This window comes from Homo sapiens, chromosome 7 (genome assembly GCF_000001405.40).
Source record: "Homo sapiens chromosome 7, GRCh38.p14 Primary Assembly".
Classification (NCBI taxonomy): domain Eukaryota; kingdom Metazoa; phylum Chordata; class Mammalia; order Primates; family Hominidae; genus Homo; species Homo sapiens.
Window position 1 is genome coordinate 48,225,100 of NC_000007.14, and position 18,479 is coordinate 48,243,578.

The 18,479-nt window shown below is 41.5% G+C and overlaps 1 protein-coding gene across 29 annotated transcripts in view; it reads left to right on the top strand.

Moving 5' to 3' along the window:
• Positions 1 to 18,479, top strand: part of ABCA13 (ATP binding cassette subfamily A member 13) — a 476,040-nt gene that overhangs the window by 53,642 nt on the left and 403,919 nt on the right. For 28 of the 29 annotated variants that reach the window (XR_926914.3, XR_926915.3, XR_926919.3 and 25 more), the window contains exons 6-10: positions 2,163 to 2,326; positions 4,726 to 4,856; positions 8,919 to 9,052; positions 14,142 to 14,306; positions 15,768 to 15,967. Coding sequence is in view for 26 of the 29 variants with exons in the window: in XM_011515130.3 (XP_011513432.1) it covers positions 2,163 to 2,326; positions 4,726 to 4,856; positions 8,919 to 9,052; positions 14,142 to 14,306; positions 15,768 to 15,967 (794 nt within the window). In the remaining 3 variants the exon portion in view is untranslated. The remainder of the gene's footprint in view (positions 1 to 2,162; positions 2,327 to 4,725; positions 4,857 to 8,918; positions 9,053 to 14,141; positions 14,307 to 15,767; positions 15,968 to 18,479) is intronic. The other variant, XM_011515136.2, reaches the window with a different exon arrangement.

Sequence of the window (18,479 nt, forward strand, 5' to 3'; positions counted from 1 at the left end):
CATGCGTGCGTGCCTGCCTGCCTGCCTGCCTGCCTGCCTTCCTTCCTTCCTTCCTTCCTTCCTTCCTTCCTTCCTTCCTTCCTTCCTTCCTTCTTTGCTTCCTTCTTTACTTCCTTCCTTCCCTCCCTCCCTCCCTCCCTTCCATCTTTCCTCTCTCCTTTCTTCCCTCCCTCTCTCCCTGTTCAGCACAGATGGAACCATCCATTTTTTTCCCTAAATTTTTTCAATCGATGGTTTATTGAATCCAAGGATGCCTAACACACAGTTACGAAAGGCTGACTGTACTTCACTGTATACTTCTGAAAAACAAGGTCATTCTTGAACATAACCACAGTACAATTATTAGAATCAGAAAATTAACACTAATACAATAGAATTATTTAACCTATAGACTTTTTCCAGATTTGCCAATTGTTCTAATAATGTCCTTAACAGCAAAAGAAAATCTTGGATCATGTATTGCATTCAGTTGTCCTGTCTTTAGTTTCCTTTGTTCTGGAACGGTCTTTGTTTTTATTTCATCATGATTTTTGAATAGATCACTTATTTTGTAGACTATCTATCTCAATTTTGGGGTTGCCTGATGTCTGTTCGTGATTGCATTTGGGGTTTTGTACTTATGGCAGGAACAGCTTGTGTTTTTTAAGATGGCAGATAATAACATGCTGATAGGAATGAACCGATAGAGGGGAAAAGAGAGAATTGCTGGATGATGCTCTTGAGGGGTGGGAGAGCAGGAGGGCTGAGCTCAGCCTGAGGACTGAAGCACTGAATTTGGCTGGGGATAGATTTTTTTTTCTTTTGCCAGTGGAATATATGATAGATTGTGAGAAGAGAAGAGAGTTGAGTGGGTATTCAAGGGAAAGATCATCCAGGAATGGACCAGGGGCACGAGGGCAATGGGGACAAGAAAGAGGTGTTGGCAGAATGGAATGTGGGGCCTGGTAGGGCCAAAGAGTCATTAGAGTTGGGGAACTGTAGAAAAGGAGTGGGGTTGGTCATCGAAGAGTGAGGTGCATAAAGTTGTAGCTATTGATAATGAAAACAAAATGAAGATTTTGACCAGAGAAATGGGTGATTCAAGCAGGTGGAAGAAAATATCATTGGATGGAAGGGAGATAAAGTAACAGAGGGGATTTGAGGATCATTAGATATGGAAATTACTGAGAATGGTGGCTGAAGTCATGCCGAAAAGCATGGTAGTGTGCTAGAAGCCAGAATCCTCCAGAAATGGAAAGAGCTCATTCTGGGAGCTTCCCAGGACCCTGCTGAGTTCTGAGACCCTCTTTTCATTCCACTGAGAGTGGTGTGAGGAAGAGGGAGTGTGTCTCGTTTGGAGTAGTTGGACCTCTGGAGAATGCTTCTTTTTCTGTTTGTTTGTTTTAACTCTATCTCATCTGAAAGATAAATGCTGTGACTTTTATGAGTGGTCTAAAATGCAGGACTCACTTTTATTGAAGAAATGGGAACTAGGCAGCAAGAAGAGAACCAGCAACTGTGGAGCTTGGATCACAGAGTGTGGGGTAGTTGTTACTGGGATGTCATGGAGCATTGGGGTGTTTTTCCACCTAGGGAGAGCATGCGGGCTCAGTGAGGCACTGGAGACCCATGTTCCTTCTATTTTTGCACTTAGCCATTCTTGGCATATAATAAGAAAGCCTCGGGTATCTAGAGAAATCCAAAGGCTCTATACTATGGGCCAGCTGCATTTGCCTTCTGATCAAGCCATCAGTGCTCAGTGAAATGTTGGGTTTTTTTGTTCATATTTGAATTACTCTCTTTTCTTTATCATTTACATGTAAAGAATAGATCATTACATTCTTATCCAGGATCTATGTCACAGACTTTGTTGCTTCAAAAACTGTAGAAGTTGGTACAGCTTGTTACAAAAATCGGCCTTCTTTTTCTTCTTACCCCATCCATATTTTTCCCTCCTTGTCCATATTTTTAAGCCATTAAAAAAAAATCCTCCAACTGCACAGAATAGTTTTAACATTGTGTTCAGCAGATTGGCAAATCTGTTCAATGTAGTGATATATTAAGTGTGAGTTTCTACTAGGAGAATGTCTACAATTTTGCACCTTTGTAGCATCTGTCTGTCTCATTTACTTTATTAATAAAACTCCAGAGGGAAACTTTTGGTGTATTTTTTTTCCCATCAGATGGATCTCAATAAGACCGAGGAGGTAATATTGAAACTGGAAAGCCTCCATCAGCAGCCTCATATCTGGGATTTTCTACTTTTACTGCCGAGACTACACACAAGCCATGATCATGTGGAAGATGGCATGGATGTTGCAGTGAACCTTCTCCAGACCATTTTGAAGTGAGTGAAAAAGAAAAACATAACTAAGTATCAATATGTTGTTTTTTTACCTTATTTTTAAAATGAGAAATAAAAATTACTAATTGTTGGATTTAAAAAAACCTCACAATAATGTTACCTTGAAACAAGAGGAGCTTCTGCACCTCCACGAACGTCCCTCATCTGTCTGTGTACATATTTTATATACAGGCAGTGATGTTGTTCAGAGCGTGTGCTCCCTGATTTAAAAAAGTCAGCGCCATATTTTAATATTTTGTATGTTGTTATAGTTTATAAATGGCCAGTTTTAATGGCTGCAGCATATATCATTCTGGTAAAGTACTATATACTGTAATTTACTTAATAAATTTGGCATTGGATTTTTGGTTGTTTCTGAGTTTTTCACTATTAGAGATAGGCTTGAATATAATAATTTCAACTAATTTCTTAAGAAATTATGCCATAGTTGCCCAGTATAGCATTCAGAACTGATAAGCTCAGTTGCTTCAGTTGTGTAATTCAGTTAGCTGGACGTTGGTCTCCTATGCTGGATTTGACCCCCATGTTACCTGGGGTGACCTTTGGGAGCATCCCTTCCCGTGGTGGGCTTCTTATGCCTTAATCAGCATGGCCCTCTTTTATAACCAATTGAATTATTTTGTGTAAACTCATTGTATGAATAATGGGTTTTATTATTTTTCATTAGCAAAGGTTTATATTCTTCTCTGTTTTTTAACTGTTACTTATTCTATCTGCCATTGGTGAGAGCCACATTACCCTTAAGCTACAACAAAAAGGGCCCTGTCCTGGGGCCTGTGCTTTGGGGAGGTCCCCGTTCTGGCTTTCCCTGGACTGTGCCTCTGCTCATGGCTCAGACTGCCCATGGGGTGAAGGGGATGTGTCCACGGAGCCCACACACCCTGATTCCCTCTCACCCTGGAGTTCCCTAATTTAATGACCAGATCATGGTCAAGCCTCTTTTCTGGCCCCTCCTTCTGAGGGCAAGTCTTAACACTGGACTGTGGCTCCTGCAGCCCAAGGGTATTCTAGGGATGGCTGCAGCCATTGGCAGGAGTGTGGGGTGGGAGGCACGGGTGCTGTTGGGCTTTGTAGGCTGGAGGACCTACCTATGTGCACTGAGGCCCCTTGAGGTACAGACCAAGCTGAGGGTGGGGAGCACATAGGGGAGGAGTGGACTGAAGGTTGGGGCCAGGGACAGGTGCTCCCCAAACTCCCACATTCTGGTGCGTAACTCTGAGGATCACAAAATTCTAAATTTGAATGTAGCTTTCCAAGTTGTTATGAAGATCTATTTGTCAATGTAGGAAAATGGAACGTATTTTGATAGTTAGTTAGCTTGATTTATAACTTAAATATTTGAACATATTTGAAATGCCTCCCTTTGTATTCTTGCCCGAAGCTCTGACTGTGTTAGCAGTGAACAACGAAAATAATTGGCTATTCTGAGAGATGCAAAATTTAAAATGAGAAGATATTGATGACAGTTGTTGAACCATATCAGCTTCAGTATAAATTGTATTTCCATATTTGGCTTCAGTGGCATGATATCAAGAAAATCTGCATTCATAGAAGTATTTGCAAGTGGTACCAGGTTTCAGTGATATATCTTATAATCCTGGGATACGCTTCAATACACAAAGTTGTCATAAAAGATTTTTCTTGATGAAAATCTACAAGGAAATAATCTGTTTGGAAGCACAGCTTATGATTGTGTTGGTCTCATGTTGCTAAAATGCAGATATATTCCAACTTCTGTTGAGTGCATTTTCTAATCTACAAATTTAAGCATATTTATTTATAAAATAAAATATTAATATTTTAAAAATAAAATTAATATGTATATGTAGATTCTCCCTCCCCAAAGCTCCTTGTTCTTTGAAACAGTTTAACAGCCACTGATTAACCCTTGACCTATTCAGATCCATAGGTTAAGACAGGGTGGAGGATTGAGGTACATGGTATTGCCCCCCAAATATTAGACTGATTATCTGAACTTGAAGCAGCCAGGCTGACTGTTCATTTGCTTTTCTAACATAGCAGCCCTTTGCACCCTGGCTGGCCTCATCAGCTGCCCTGCGGCAGGAAGAATCAAGGCTGAGTATAAAATAACACCTATGGCAGAGCCAATGCAAACTTGAGTTCTGTGTCAAAGGCAGAGTGGAAGATGGCCTAAGTTCTCAAGTGTTTCAAGAGAAGACCTTACCTCTTACATTTAGTTACTAGTTCAGGGAGTTAGGGTCACATTAAAGCCACAAAGAATGCTGACATGTAAATGGTCCAGCCACATCTTGCAACAGCACTAGGGGCCCAGTCCATGGGATGTAAGTAAACCTAGAATTGATGCTACTTGTTTTGCTAACTACCCACTCATATTGCTTTTTGTTTTGTTTTGGTTCTAGTTCCTTAATATCCCTAGAAGATTTAGATTGGCTTCCACTCAACCAAACTTTTTCCCAGGTTTCTGAACTTGTACTGAATGTGACCATTTCGACACTGACATTTCTGCAGCAACATGGAGTAGCAGTCACCGGTATGGGTGCCTTGTAGCTATTGCTATATTTCAAAACGTTTAACTACTTAAATTCATTGACAGTTGACATAGAGCTAAAATGATGTTCAAAATGATTTAATTAAAATTTCAAATTCAAAAAAGTATGAATTGTTTCTGTTAATACAAGACAAAAATAGAATAAAAATTTTGAACTCGAAACTGAATTTGACTTTCTACCACTGTTGACATTCTGCAGTCATTGCTAATATAAATGATATTTTTAAGTTAAAAATAACTGATTTTAAAATTCTTTGACTTTATTTCATCTAATATTAGACCTATCACTAGCTCTGTGATTTTAATCTTTCCTCTCTCTAAGCTCCTATTGGGAGGAAATATTTTAAAAATGGCAAAGCTAGTAAGAGGAGGCAGGTTGATGTGGACTTACAGAGTCCCTAACTAAATAAGCAGCCCTACCACAGGGGAGGGAATGGAATTATATAGCTCTTTTCTTGATCCAGGATATTATTATTTCCTGAATTACCAACTGAGTCTGAGCTTTTTACTTTTAATTCCCTTCTTTTCTCTATTTTTCTATCTTTGGCTATTTCTCTAAGGGAAATACAGTGAGAGAACAACAAAGTTGGAATTCATCCACCCATTTATCTGTTCATCTGTCCATCCATCCACCCACACATCCATTCATCCATCCATCCATCTGCCTACCCATTCACCCACTAAACAACTCATCAACCTCTTTATACATCTATCCATCTATTCGTCCATTAATCCATCCATCTATCCATCTATTCATCCATTAATCCATCCATCCGTCCATCCATCCATCCATCCATCCACTCACTCATCCATTCATCTGTCCATCCACCTCCCCATTCATCTACTCACCAACCCACCAACCCATTCATCTGTTCATTTATTTATTCATTCTCTCATTGAATAAACAACGAGCACTTCCTATGAGCCAAACACTTCCCCAGAGAGTGGGAATAAAAAGCTGAATAAGACATAGTTCTTTAATGAGAATGCATGGACACAGGGAGGGGAACAACATACACCAGGTCCAGTCGTCGGGTCGGGGGAGAGGGGAGGGAGAGCATTAGGACAAATAGCTAATGCATGCGGGTCTTAAAACCTAGATGATGGGTTGATAGGTGCAGCAAATCACCATGGAACATGTATACCTATGTAATAAACCTGCACATTCTGCACTTGTATCCCGGAACTTAAAGTTAAAAAAAAAAAAAGGCATAGTTCTTACTTTCAAGGAAGTCATGTTTAGTAAAGGAGAGAGATATGTCAATAATAAAAAACAAACAAACAAACAAACAAAAAACAAAGACCACAGAGTAAGGATCTGACATCTGCTTCAGGAAAAACTTCAAGGAGGAGTTTTGAAGGGTGAGTTGGAGTTTATCAAAGAGATGAGGGAGCATTTCCAGGAAGAGAGAAGACTGTGAGATACTTGGGCTTGCTGAGAGCTGTGAATGTTTGACATTCAGTGTGTCTGAGGTACAGTGGGCAGTAGCAGGGGGTGGCATAGAAAGGAGCCCAGGCCAAAACACGAGTGGCCATGGGAGCAGTAGAATTAGATCTGCATTATAGAAAGACACTCCTGGGCCGGTGTGAGGAGTAGATTGGAGGCAGGTAGTTCTGGGGTTCAGGATCCTGGGAGCAAGTCTTCCATCAGCCACTTTCTCCTGAGGTCTCAGTCTCCTGAACTATTATTATTATTATTATTATTAGAGATGGAGTCTCGCTCTTTTGCCCAGGCGGCAGTGCAGCAGTGAGATCTTGGCTCATTGCAACCTCTGCCTCCTGGGTTCAAGCAATTCTCCTGCCTCAGCCAACCAAATAGCTGGGACTACAGGCGTGCATCACCACGCCTGGCTAATTTTTGTATTTTTAGTAGAGACATGGTTTCACCATGTTGGCCAGGCTGGTCTCAAACTCCTGACCTCAGGTGATCTGCCCTCCTCGGCCTCCCAAAGTGCTGGGATTACAGGCGTGAGCCACTGCGCCCAACCCTGAACTATTGTACAATGAGATTGTTATACACAGAGATTTCTACAATCCCATTCAGAATTTTGCTGCTTCATGGAGCAAACTAACATGAAACCCTCTATGGCCCCAAATTCCACCTTTCCACCTGTTGCTTCTTTCTTCTTGTTGCTTGTGACTCAGCACAGTGAGACCCACATGGAATTTTTTTTTTTTTTTTTTTTTTTTTAGCTTTCTGTAAGAGAAAGCTAGCTCATTAACGTTTAACTCCATTTTCAGGTTAGGTTAGTTCCACTGGGAAGTATTTCTTATGCTGAGAACAAAACCCAGAGGTGGGGTGCGAGATGAATAAAACACCTCATCGAAATCTTCCCAGTGACCTTAATTTAACAGACTCATTTAGAAGCTCAAGTTTTTGTACATCATCCAAATTACAACAACAAATTTGCCTTACAATTGAAAATGTAATTACCGTTAAGAATGTAATTAAAATAAACAATTTTCTATTAACTCTCCAGCGAGTCAAAGCTAAGGAACACTATTACAAAACATACTTTGAGAGGTAACTAAAAATTGTCTTCATGTCTCTTGTCTCCAAGAAAAATTCTTTTGCTTGATGAGCCAATTCCAATGTGAAGAGGAAGGGATGAGTGGCCTCATGTGGCTTTAGGCTACTGGTCCAATTATGTTATGCACTAAAACTGTTAATCTACACATTCTGAATTCTCTGTTGTTTAGCAACAAATTTCTGAATCCAAGTTGTCTTTCACTTTTTGAGAAAGATTTTATACTTTTATAAGTATGCTACACTGATGTCACTATTTTTTCTCTCCTTTCTGGAACTCTGTGAGTAATTCTAATACCTTCTGAGACCAGTAGAGATTAATAGTTACAGCTCAGCTTTGGAAGCCAGATCATTTGGGTTTGAATCAGAGGCTTAATCTAACAAGTGGGACTCTAAGAAAAAGGGGATAATTACAGCACCTACCTCATAGTGTTGTTGGAGGACTAAGTGAGACCTCCCATGGTGTATTCTTAGTCTAGGTCCTAGTACCTCTTCAACATACAATAAATGCTGGTTTTAATCTCAGACACCAATCTTTTTTCCTCCCATGATGCCATGTAAAGGCAATCAGACTGGAAACAAAAAATCTTGTATTTCTGGGATTTTCCCCATCTTTAACACCTTCCTGAAGTCCCCGTTGACTTGGTCTGTCTTTGTGAATGTCATGGATTGTGCTTTTTTTTGTAGACCTCACTGCAATTATAAGGATCCTATGAGATAATGCTTGTGAAAATGGCTTATTAGTGGCTGGCAGGTGAAGGGGCTCAGTCAATGGGTGTTGAATCATCATGATCTGAAACAATCTAATTTCTAAATGAAGGTTCAAGATTCAAACACACCAAGAAATTTATGTGTTTTTATGTTTGCAGTTGCTGAGGCATACTCCCCAGAGATTTTGTCATACCTTGGGGGTCTTCGATTTATATTTTGAATGTGTCACTACTAGATAGTGCCATGGGTTTTTTGGGTAGCTCATGAATTTTATATGTTGATAACTTGAGTTAGGGGAACTTTTTCTTATGACTTCAAATAATTATTGAGAATACAGTTTTAAAGACTCCATAGTATTTTATGCTATGGATATACTATAATTTATCCTTTCCCTGGATACTAGACACTTAACTGGTTTTCAATATTTTATCAGTATAGAACCAATAAAATATTGTCGTACCTTAATTTTTGCTCAGATATCTGATTAAGCTTCTTGAGAAAGACTTTTAGAAGTGAAATTATTGGGTTCAATGACTTGAATTTTATAAAGCTCTTGAAATATGTTTTAAAATTATCTTCTGGAAATGTTGCAACCATTTGTGCCAGGGAGCATGGGACACTTCACCATTCTCTCTATAGCAGCAAGTGTTTATTCTGTTTGCTTTTTCTATCTGATGCCCCAGTGGTGTTTGGTCTTCATTTGCTCTTCCTTTAGAGGTGAAAAAAGGTATTTTTTTTCTGGATTACATTAAACATATCAAAATATTCAAACAACTGCTGGTGTAAATCTTTTGTTATTCCAACAGAGCCAGTTTACCACCTGTCCATGCAGAATATAGTGTGGGATCCACAGAAAGTCCAGTATGATCTCAAATCCCAGTTTGGCTTTGATGATCTTCACACGGAACAGATCCTGAACTCTTCAGCTGAACTGAAGGAGGTACACATGCTTGACTGCTTCTCACACCGCTGGGCCTTTCCTGGAGACTGGATCTAGAGCATGCTGCTGGGGCAGGGTGAGCGGGTGCCACGGGAGAGGCAGCCAGACAGGAGAGTTCGGTCAAAACCCGAGCTCCTTACGCAGAAGAGACCCCTACTGTCTCCAGCTTTTCTAGAAGTGTCTCTTTCTTCTTACCATGTAGTTTTATCCCAGAATGGAAAGGCAGCTTAGAAATAATATGACACTTGATTGCTCTGGGAACTAGCAGTGGGAGAGGCCAGGTCAAGTGAGGGTGTGAGATTCTGAAGACAGCGCTAGTGGGGTCCAGGTAGGAAGATGGTGCACCAGCTGTAGTGAGTGGGGATACAAGTGGGTGAATTTCCAGGTAAAGAGATAGTTTTCATTAGAAGAGTAGGAGCTGTACGTTATGGATGCCTGCTGGGTTCACCAAAGTTGAGCCTCTTCCCTAACTAGGTGAAATAAGGGAGTTGGACTGGATGATCGATCCCCAAGACCCAGTTCACTGTTGGTATTGCTGAGGTTCTGGGAGATATCTTTTAGTTACAGAGTCCCTTTTGTCACTCCAGCCCATTTGTAGGCACTTCTGCTTTGCATGGTGCAGGTCCAAGAACTATGCGGGACCTGGAGCTTTGGTCCATAGACTCCACCTCCAGGGTTAGAGCATTTCTGGTGCAGCTCCTAGGTCAGTGTTGAGTTAGGAATGTTTGGAGAGGACCCACTCTCTTCCATTAGGATCTCAGTCCATGCTGGTTATGTAGATTTTGCTCACTTTTTTGTGAGTTCCCCACAACCTGGTCTTCCCAGATAGCACTTTTCACATTTCAGTGCAGCTAGTTTGTGTTCAGACTGTTGCTTTCAGTATTTAGACTCTGGATCTGTGCTCTCAGTCTCAGGGGTTAGATGGTTGGGTTGCAGCCAGCAGACCCTCATGCTGGCTTGGTGTTTGAAAACCCAGTTCTACCAGGTAGGTTTAGGCTTCACCAAAGTATACTAAATTTTGTGCTTCTTGTATCCCTGGCACAATTTTATTAATCATCTCACAATTTTATGAACTATCTACCTACCACAGGACTTGAAATTGTGACCCTTGGGTTTTCTCATGGATGCTGATGTAGATGGAATATGAAACCCCAGTTGGCTGACTTTTATTCTAGTTTTCTCCATCTTTATAACCCCGTTTTCTCATTATATTATAGTTTGAGTGAACTATGTAAAACTTTTACCTTAGAATGTTCAATATATTGAGATTAGAATTAAAAGGAAAGTGATCAGAAAATACCACTGTGTATATCAACAGAGCTCCATGGAAATTGTACATCATGTGTGTGAGCTTTCTATTGCTGCTGTAGCAAGTTACCCCCAACATAGTGCCTTAAGGCAACTGACATTTTCTTTTATCATAGTGTTCTGGAGGTCAGATGCCTGAAATGGTCTCACTGGGCTAGAATCAAGGTGTCTGCAGGGCTGCAATCCTTCTTGAGGTCAAGGGGACATACTGTTGTGGGGGAGGAAAAATTCTTTTTTTCTCTATTATTCCATCTTCAATGGCTGGGGCTCATGAATTAACCTGATAAAAGACAGATAAAGAAGAGGAAAACCAGTTATTGTGTAGGTATGTATGGGAGTTCACAAAGAGAAATGTGTAGATCTTCCCTGATGACCATTCTGTTTTTCACTTTCAGTATAGTATTCAATAAATTACATGAGATAATAAATACTTTATTATAAAATAAGCTTTGTGTTAGATTATTTTTCCAATTGTAGGCTAATGTATGTGTTCTGAGCACAGTTCAGGTAGGCTAGGTTAAGTTTGGTTATGTTTTGAGGTTGGGTGTACTAAATGTATTCTTGGCTTATGATATTTTCAAGTCATGATGGGTTGATGAGGATGTAACCTCATTGTAGATCAAGGATCACCTGTATTTTAAGGAAGCAGCCAGATTATTAAGGCTTATATGCCATCCAAGGCTATCTATACAAAGGAAAGGGGGCTTGGGGTTTCTGAGTAGCAAGGCAAGTTATGGGAAGGTGAGGGGAGGAAATATATGGTGAATGAGTTATCCTGTTTTGCAGAGAAATCTCCCAGGTGATCAGAGTTATTTGGAGAAGCAGCTCTCTTTTTGGTAGGAGACATCTTTACAGATGAAAATTATCTTAATAATGTAAATTTTCTTTATAAATCTAAATTTCCTTTACCAAAAGGAAATTTATACTCTATTTTTAAACAGTTAGGGAACGGTAAGAAGTTTTTCCTGCCTCTGCTGGTTTTCAGTTTGTCTTTAGCTCAAAATAATCCATATGCCAAAGAAACATACTTTGGGGTGGCGTATTCTGTTTTCTTGCTTTTTCCAGCTTCCAGTGGCCATCCACATTCCTTGGGTCTGAGCCTCTTTCTCAATCATCAAAGCCAGCAATGGCAGGTCTAGTTCTTCTCATATCCCATCACTTGGGCACTGACATTTTTGCCTCCTTTCTCCAATAAAAACCCTTGTGGTTACACTGGGCTCACCAGGTTACCCAGGATAATCGCCCATCTCAAAGCCAGGTGATAAGTAGCCTTAATTTCATCTGCAGCCTTAAATCTCACTTGCCATACAACATAACATATTCATGGGCTCTTGGGATTGGGACATGGACATCTTGGGGGAACATTGCCTGCTTCCCACCCTTCGTAAGTGTAATTGCCTGGTGAGCTCTTCCTGCCCACTGCACAGACAAAACCAATTCATTGAGACTGCAGTATTGCAGTAGAGAAAGGGTTTAATTAATGCAGAGCTAGCCAAGGGAAAAAACTGGAGTTATTACTCAAATCAGCCTCCTTGAGAACTCAGAGGGTAGGGTTTTTTTTTTTTTTTTTTTTTTGGATAATTTGGTGGGCAGGGGACTAGGAAATGAGTTTCGCCGATTGGTTGGGGATGAAATCACAAGGATGTGGAAAAATGCAAAAGTCTGAAAAACGTCTCAAGAGACCAATCTTGGGTTTGACAATAGTGATGTTATCTATAGGAGCAATTGAGGAAGTCACATATCTTGTGATCTTTGGCCCCATGACTCCTGAGCAGCAAGGGATTATAGAAGGCAAGCTAGGGACCAGTGGCTGATTATCATTTAGCTACACCTACATTTTAGCAGCATTCAAGCCACTCTCATAATCTTAATCTTGTGGCCTTTTATTAGTCTTACAAGGGCAGGTTCTGTACCTGAGAAATGAGGGGATTCATCTTAGGGAGGGACTACTATCAACCTTGCTAAAAAGTTAAACTACAAACTAAATTCCTCCCATGGTTAGCTTGGTATATGCCCAGGAGTGAGCAAGGACAGCCAGCCTCTGAGGCTAGAAGCAAGGTGGAGTCAGCCATGCTAGACTTCTCTCACTCTCATAATCTGCAAAGGTGGTTTCACAGGGCCCTTTCCATCTGCATCAGCCTGTGAGCCTAGGCCCTCCCTGGGGTCTGTCTGACTCCTGACCCTGTCACTCTCTGGGCCTGCTGGGGGCCTCAGCACATGCTGCCCCTGCAAGAGAATAGTCCTCCTCTTTCCCTGCCTCTGCCTCCTGAATTGGAAAATGATTTATCTAACCTCACATCCTCTGTGGATCTCCTGTGACCTCACTTCAGCCTCTGCCTCTACTTCTTCAACCTTCTATAATAGGGCATGTCCCAGGGAGCCTGATGGCTGCATATCTGCCTCTCATAGGCTGTGAGCATCTGAGTGGGGACTTGGCCTTATCTATCTAACATGATACATGGTATTGTTGATTATTTTTAATTAAGGGAAAAAAATAGAACAAAACATCAGGGACCCTGTGCTTTGACAGTCACAGGTTAATATTTTAAATCCTGATCCAAAAGGAACCTAAAAGTGAACACATGGGACTAAAATTAAGCTTTCTGACTATTGTCATTGTTTAGTCAATTCAGGCTGTTATAACAAAAGACCACAGACTTGTAAACAACAGAAATTTATCTTGGTGTGTCCTCACGTGGTAGAAGGGGTAAGGGAACTCCCTGGGTCTCTTTTATCAGGGTGCTAATCCCATTCACAAGTGTTCACCCTCATGATCTGACCAGCTCCCCAGGGCCCCATCTCCTTATACCATCACCTTGGGGGCTAGGATTTCAAAATACGAATTTTGGCGGGGAGGCCACAAGCATTTAGACCATGGCAGTCACCAACAGAATCTCTTAAAGATGGCATTATAATTGTTGTAAAATGATGTAATAGGGGAATGTGCTTCATTATATCATAAACATAAGTATTTACAAAGCAGTGTTACAGGAACTCTGTTGAAGTTCTTTTTTTTTTTTTTTCTTTAAGACAGAGTCTCACTCTGTTGCCCAGGCTGGAGTGCAGTGGCACGATCTCCGCTCACTGCAAGCTCCGCCTCCTGGGTTCACGCCATTCTCCTGCCTCAGCCTCCTGAGTAGCTGGGACTACAGGCGCCCACCACCACGCCTGGCTAATCTTTTGTATTTTTAGTAGAGACGGGGTTTCACCATGTTAGCCAGGATGGTCTCTATCTCCTGACCTCGTGATCCACCCGCCTCGGCCTCCCAAAGTGCTGGGATTACAGGCGTGAGCCACCGTGCCCAGCCACTGTGTTGAAGTTCATGTATAAAATAAAGGAGATTTGGTTCAAAAACATTAAACAGTTTCTGACCCAGGACTTCAATTTGAATCTTTCCAATTTTATCCACTTTTGATAGTCAGAAAAGAAAATGTTCTTGGCAAAACAACTTTGTTAGTCCGAAGTATGAATTAAACTGGGCTGACCCATGTTCACTTTTGGCCTAAGAATGAAAAGAAACAAGATTTGATGTCATCTCCATGTCCTTGGCCTGGAGAAACAGCTGTTCCTATTGTTTGTGGATGAAACTGAAAAATATAACTTTTTTTTTTTAACTACCAAGTCTTCCCTCAAGGTAAATCACATAGATATCATCACTTACTTCTTCAATCAAGCAAATGTAAGAACTTTTACTGTGGCAAGATCGTGGTGTTATTTTTAGAAGAGGAAGGTTCTAGGAAAGGAGCTTTATGTCTAAATATTTTTTCATATTGTTGTCAGATTCCCACAGACACTTCCTTGGAGAAGATGGTGTGTTCAGTCTTGTCTAGCACATCAGAGGATGAAGCTGAGAAATGGGGCCACGTTGGAGGCTGCCACCCTAAGTGGTCAGAAGCCAAAAACTATCTTGTCCATGCAGTCAGCTGGCTGCGAGTCTACCAACAGGTGCTGTCCCCTCTCTCTATGTTCTGTTCAAAGGTGTGCCAGTTTGAGTGTCCAAATCCATTCTCCTCCCCTGCCCTGCCATGTTTACTGTTGGATTTTATGTCCCTCCAAGGAAAGGGCCTTAGGAGCCCCACATCCTGGCCATTGAGTGCACCTTGTCCCATGTGCATCAACTGGCTCCAGCTCCATAGGCCTAGGCCCTCAACACTCATCACCAAACAGTCTATCCTAGGCTTGCACACACACCTTGGCAACTCAGAAGTTCCTAGACCCATGCTCTGTTATTGGTGCATGAGATTGCCCTGGAGTACTATGACCAGCTCTTTGGACATTTGCATGCTAGCATTGGGCATCCCTCTAGCACTTTAAGCTCTGAACTGGCCTTGTCTCTTCACTCTGGTTTTGACCAGAAGCTCTGTGCACAAACAGTGACTGTGATTTCAGTGACCATAATTTAACAACACGAAGGGAGGCTCTAGTCTGTCTTTATAGGGATGTTGGTGTGGGGCAGAGGGCCTGAGTGATTAGATTGCTCCTGGCCTCAGAAGCTCATGGAGCCCTGGCTGTTTCACAGCTTTGCGCTTCTTGGGGAGGTTTTGGAGACTGTGAGGCAGAGCTCCCCTGGCAGTCACTTCCCATTTGTTTTATCAGGCTTTGCCGTCTCTGTCTCATGTTTTTCCTTAAAGAACACACCTCTTTAACTTTGTTCTCCGCTAATATGTGTCATGTATAAAGGCCAAAATCTCAAATGGTAGATAAAACATCCTTAAAAATATATAGGTGTTGTCGTCTGCTTCGTGGCACTAAAGTCATCCGGCACTAAAATAATCAAGGGACAGTGCTGAAATGACCAGCATCCAATGGTCTAGTGGACACACTTGCTTTGTGCATTATCTGGGTAACATAACTCATGGTTAATTAAGGCATAGTTAGCACACATACATGTACATCGTGCACCTCTCCATGCCATCAGGCTTGGGCAAGAATGATCTATTTTTGTGTAATGTTGATGACAAACCACAGTGCTAATTGACTTCAGTATCATCCTCACCATGTCCGTGTCGTAAAATGACACTTAGTAACCATGTATTAACTTTGGTATATATTTAAAAATATGCAAATATATTTATGCTATCCTAAATATGTTCGTTTAGGTTTTAAATTGTATTTCATTTGTTTAGAGGTGTATGTTATTCCCTTCTCTCTTTTTCTCTTTTGGGGGAAAAAAGAGAAATAAGGCAGAGATTATAAAGTTGTGTGCATCCATTGTTGCAACATGAAATCTTTAATTTCTGAGTAGAAATTAAATCATACTGCAATTGCTAACAGACATTTTAATTTACCAAAAAATAAAGATTGGCTGTCTGTCATCTAGAGTGGTATGTTAATATTTCTTAACTAAATACTGTTCTTTCCAATTTGCTATTATTAATGCTAGTATTTTGGTTTCCGAATTTGTAGGTGTTTGTTCAGTGGCAACAGGGTAGCCTGCTTCAGAAGACACTCACAGGCATGGGCCATAGTCTGGAGGCTCTCAGGAATCAGTTTGAAGAAGAGAGCAAGCCCTGGAAGGTGGTGGAAGCTCTGCACACTGCACTGCTCCTGCTGAATGACAGCTTGTCAGCAGATGGCCCAAAAGATAATCATACATTTCCAAAGATGTAAGTCGCATTTCCCTGTTTGATTATTGATTAGGTAGATGACACAGAATGTTAAAGAGTGCGTGATGATACTGTTAGAAACACATTCTGTAAAACTACAGCTAAATAATGAATTTCTTGTTAGCAAATGGGAAATCAGAGGCTTTCATTGTGGACCATCACCAGGGTAGAAGTCTTGGCAGCACTCTGGATGCCTATTCAGAGGCTGCAATCGACCGAATACGGGAGCAATGTTTGAGAAGGTGTCAGTTTCCTAGATTTTAGATTTTATGTCTTTGGCATTTGTTTAAAAATGAATAAATTCATTTCGGAGGCATTTTTATGTACAGAACTACCTTACATGAGTAGCTCTTTTCCTAGAATCTTCCTCTTCAAAAAATATGTTTTTATATTTACTTAAAGATTTTGTATAGTTGAAGTGTTTACATAAGGTCCAGAAATATTGTAGAAGTAGGAAATGGTGGAACTTGTTTCTTCCTTTTTAAGATAACCACAATTGATTCACCAAAATAGCCGACTAGATCTTTTTCCTTAGTAGGTGTGGCAGTTTGTAGTAACTTGAATCTTATTATCCTTCTGAAGTTAAGGCTGTCTTTGGAAAAGAAGAATATGATTTCTCAATATTATCTCAAAAATGTGCATTTCAAACCAGGTCACACAAATTCTTGCTCTCTGTGTACCATGAAGGAGAGTTGTGATGACAGAATTGGATAGGACCATATTGTGTTCTTATGATTACTTAAGAAATAGCAATTCTAAACACTTCCAGTTCTTTCACATTTTCTGGAACTTTTAGCAAACAGGATCTTGCTTTTGAAGGTCCTATTTCCTAACTTTTACTTAAGAGATGTTCTGGGGCCTGAGGTGCTTGCGCTAAAGGCAGAAATACAGTTCCCTATCCGGGCCATAAAAGCTACAGGAGGATGGATGCAGGGAGCCAGCAAGGATGCCTTGAAGTAGTGTTCTAGGCAAAGGGCAGGGACAAAACATCTGTCATAAATGAACAAATGCAGGGACATTGCACTGGGGATATTGAAAACCTCCCTGCTGGTCTGTCACTTAATGCACATTAATAGAAACACCACATTAAGTCACCGTAATTATCCTACAAATCTCGAATGCCCCCTGGCACTTTAGCCTAGGATTTTGCCTGCTCTGTGCCAGGCCAGGGGATTGAAGCCCCAGGAAGCTGTACTTGGCTCTTAGTCCTACAGAGATGGGGGGAAGCTGAAGACTATACCACACTCTAGGTACAAAGCTAGGATAGCCCACATTCTTCTGCCCCCATATAAAATTTCCACACATTCTCAGTGCCAGGAAGATGAGGCCCAAACACTGGCTTTGCTGTCCATCTGCTGTTTTTTTTTCTTTGTTTTGTTTTGTTTTGCTTTGAGACAGTCTTGCTCTGTTGCCCAGGCTGAAGTGCAATGGCGCGATCTTGGCTCCCCGCAACCTCCACCTCTCAGACTCAAGCGATTCTCCTGCTTCAGCCTCCTGAGTAGCTGGGATTACAGGCTCACACCACTACTGCCCAGCTAATTTTTGCATTTTTAGTAGAGACAGGGTTTCACCGTATTGGCCAGGCTGGTCTTGAACTCCTGGCATCAAGTGATCTGCCCTCCTCGGCCTCCCAAAGTGCCGGAATTCCAGGCGTGAGCCACCGCAGCTGGCCACCTTCAGCCTTATTTAAATCTTTCTGAGATTCACATGCACCCTTAGCAGAAAATTGTATATCTTTTATCATTAGCTTTGGTCCAAGAAACCCCATCCCTTTTTCACTACCTTGTCTTCATAGCCAATTGTTCATATCTTTTTCTCTTCCTAAGCTGCAAAGTTCACCCAAAATAAATGGAAATCACACCAGACTCTCAGTTTTCTACTGAGTTTTTCGTGTCATTACAGACTGCCTTTTCTCCTCCAGGTTCTTTCTGGTTCCTGCCCACGTCCCTGCAGTACGGGTGGCTGAGGTGTGGGAGCTCTTCACCCAGGCTCTAGCAGATAGCGTGGATTTTGGCAAGGCGAGGACTCACAGAGGTGCCTCTGCGCCTTCCAGCAAGGACTCACCCTTCAATGTCGCACGTTGTTGTGAATGTGAAGTGTCTGTTCACAGATGTGGGGGGAATAGTCCCTAGGGTCTGGCCATGTGGTATCCTTGCTTGTCAGAGTTTAAAGAGACTTGACAGTAAGATCCAGGTTCCAAGCCACACAGCATTTCTTTTTTCCTTGGGGAAAATAAAATAATCTCTTTCTCACTTTCTAGCTCTTTCCAAGTGCCACTCTGCTTCCTTCTCAGTGTAATCCAAAGAGTCAGAACAATGACTGACCTAAGCCCAGTTCATTCTGCAGATGGCCAATTCCAAAAGCCATGTGTCCAGCTTCACTCTAGCATGAGGTGTCAGGAGTCTGGTCAGCAGCCAGAAAGCCCAAGCATGTGGCTCTGATGGAGCAATTGCTCCGCCTTGTAGGGTGATGACGTGGGGATGGGTACCAGTTCCTGCTGGTGTCTTGTAGG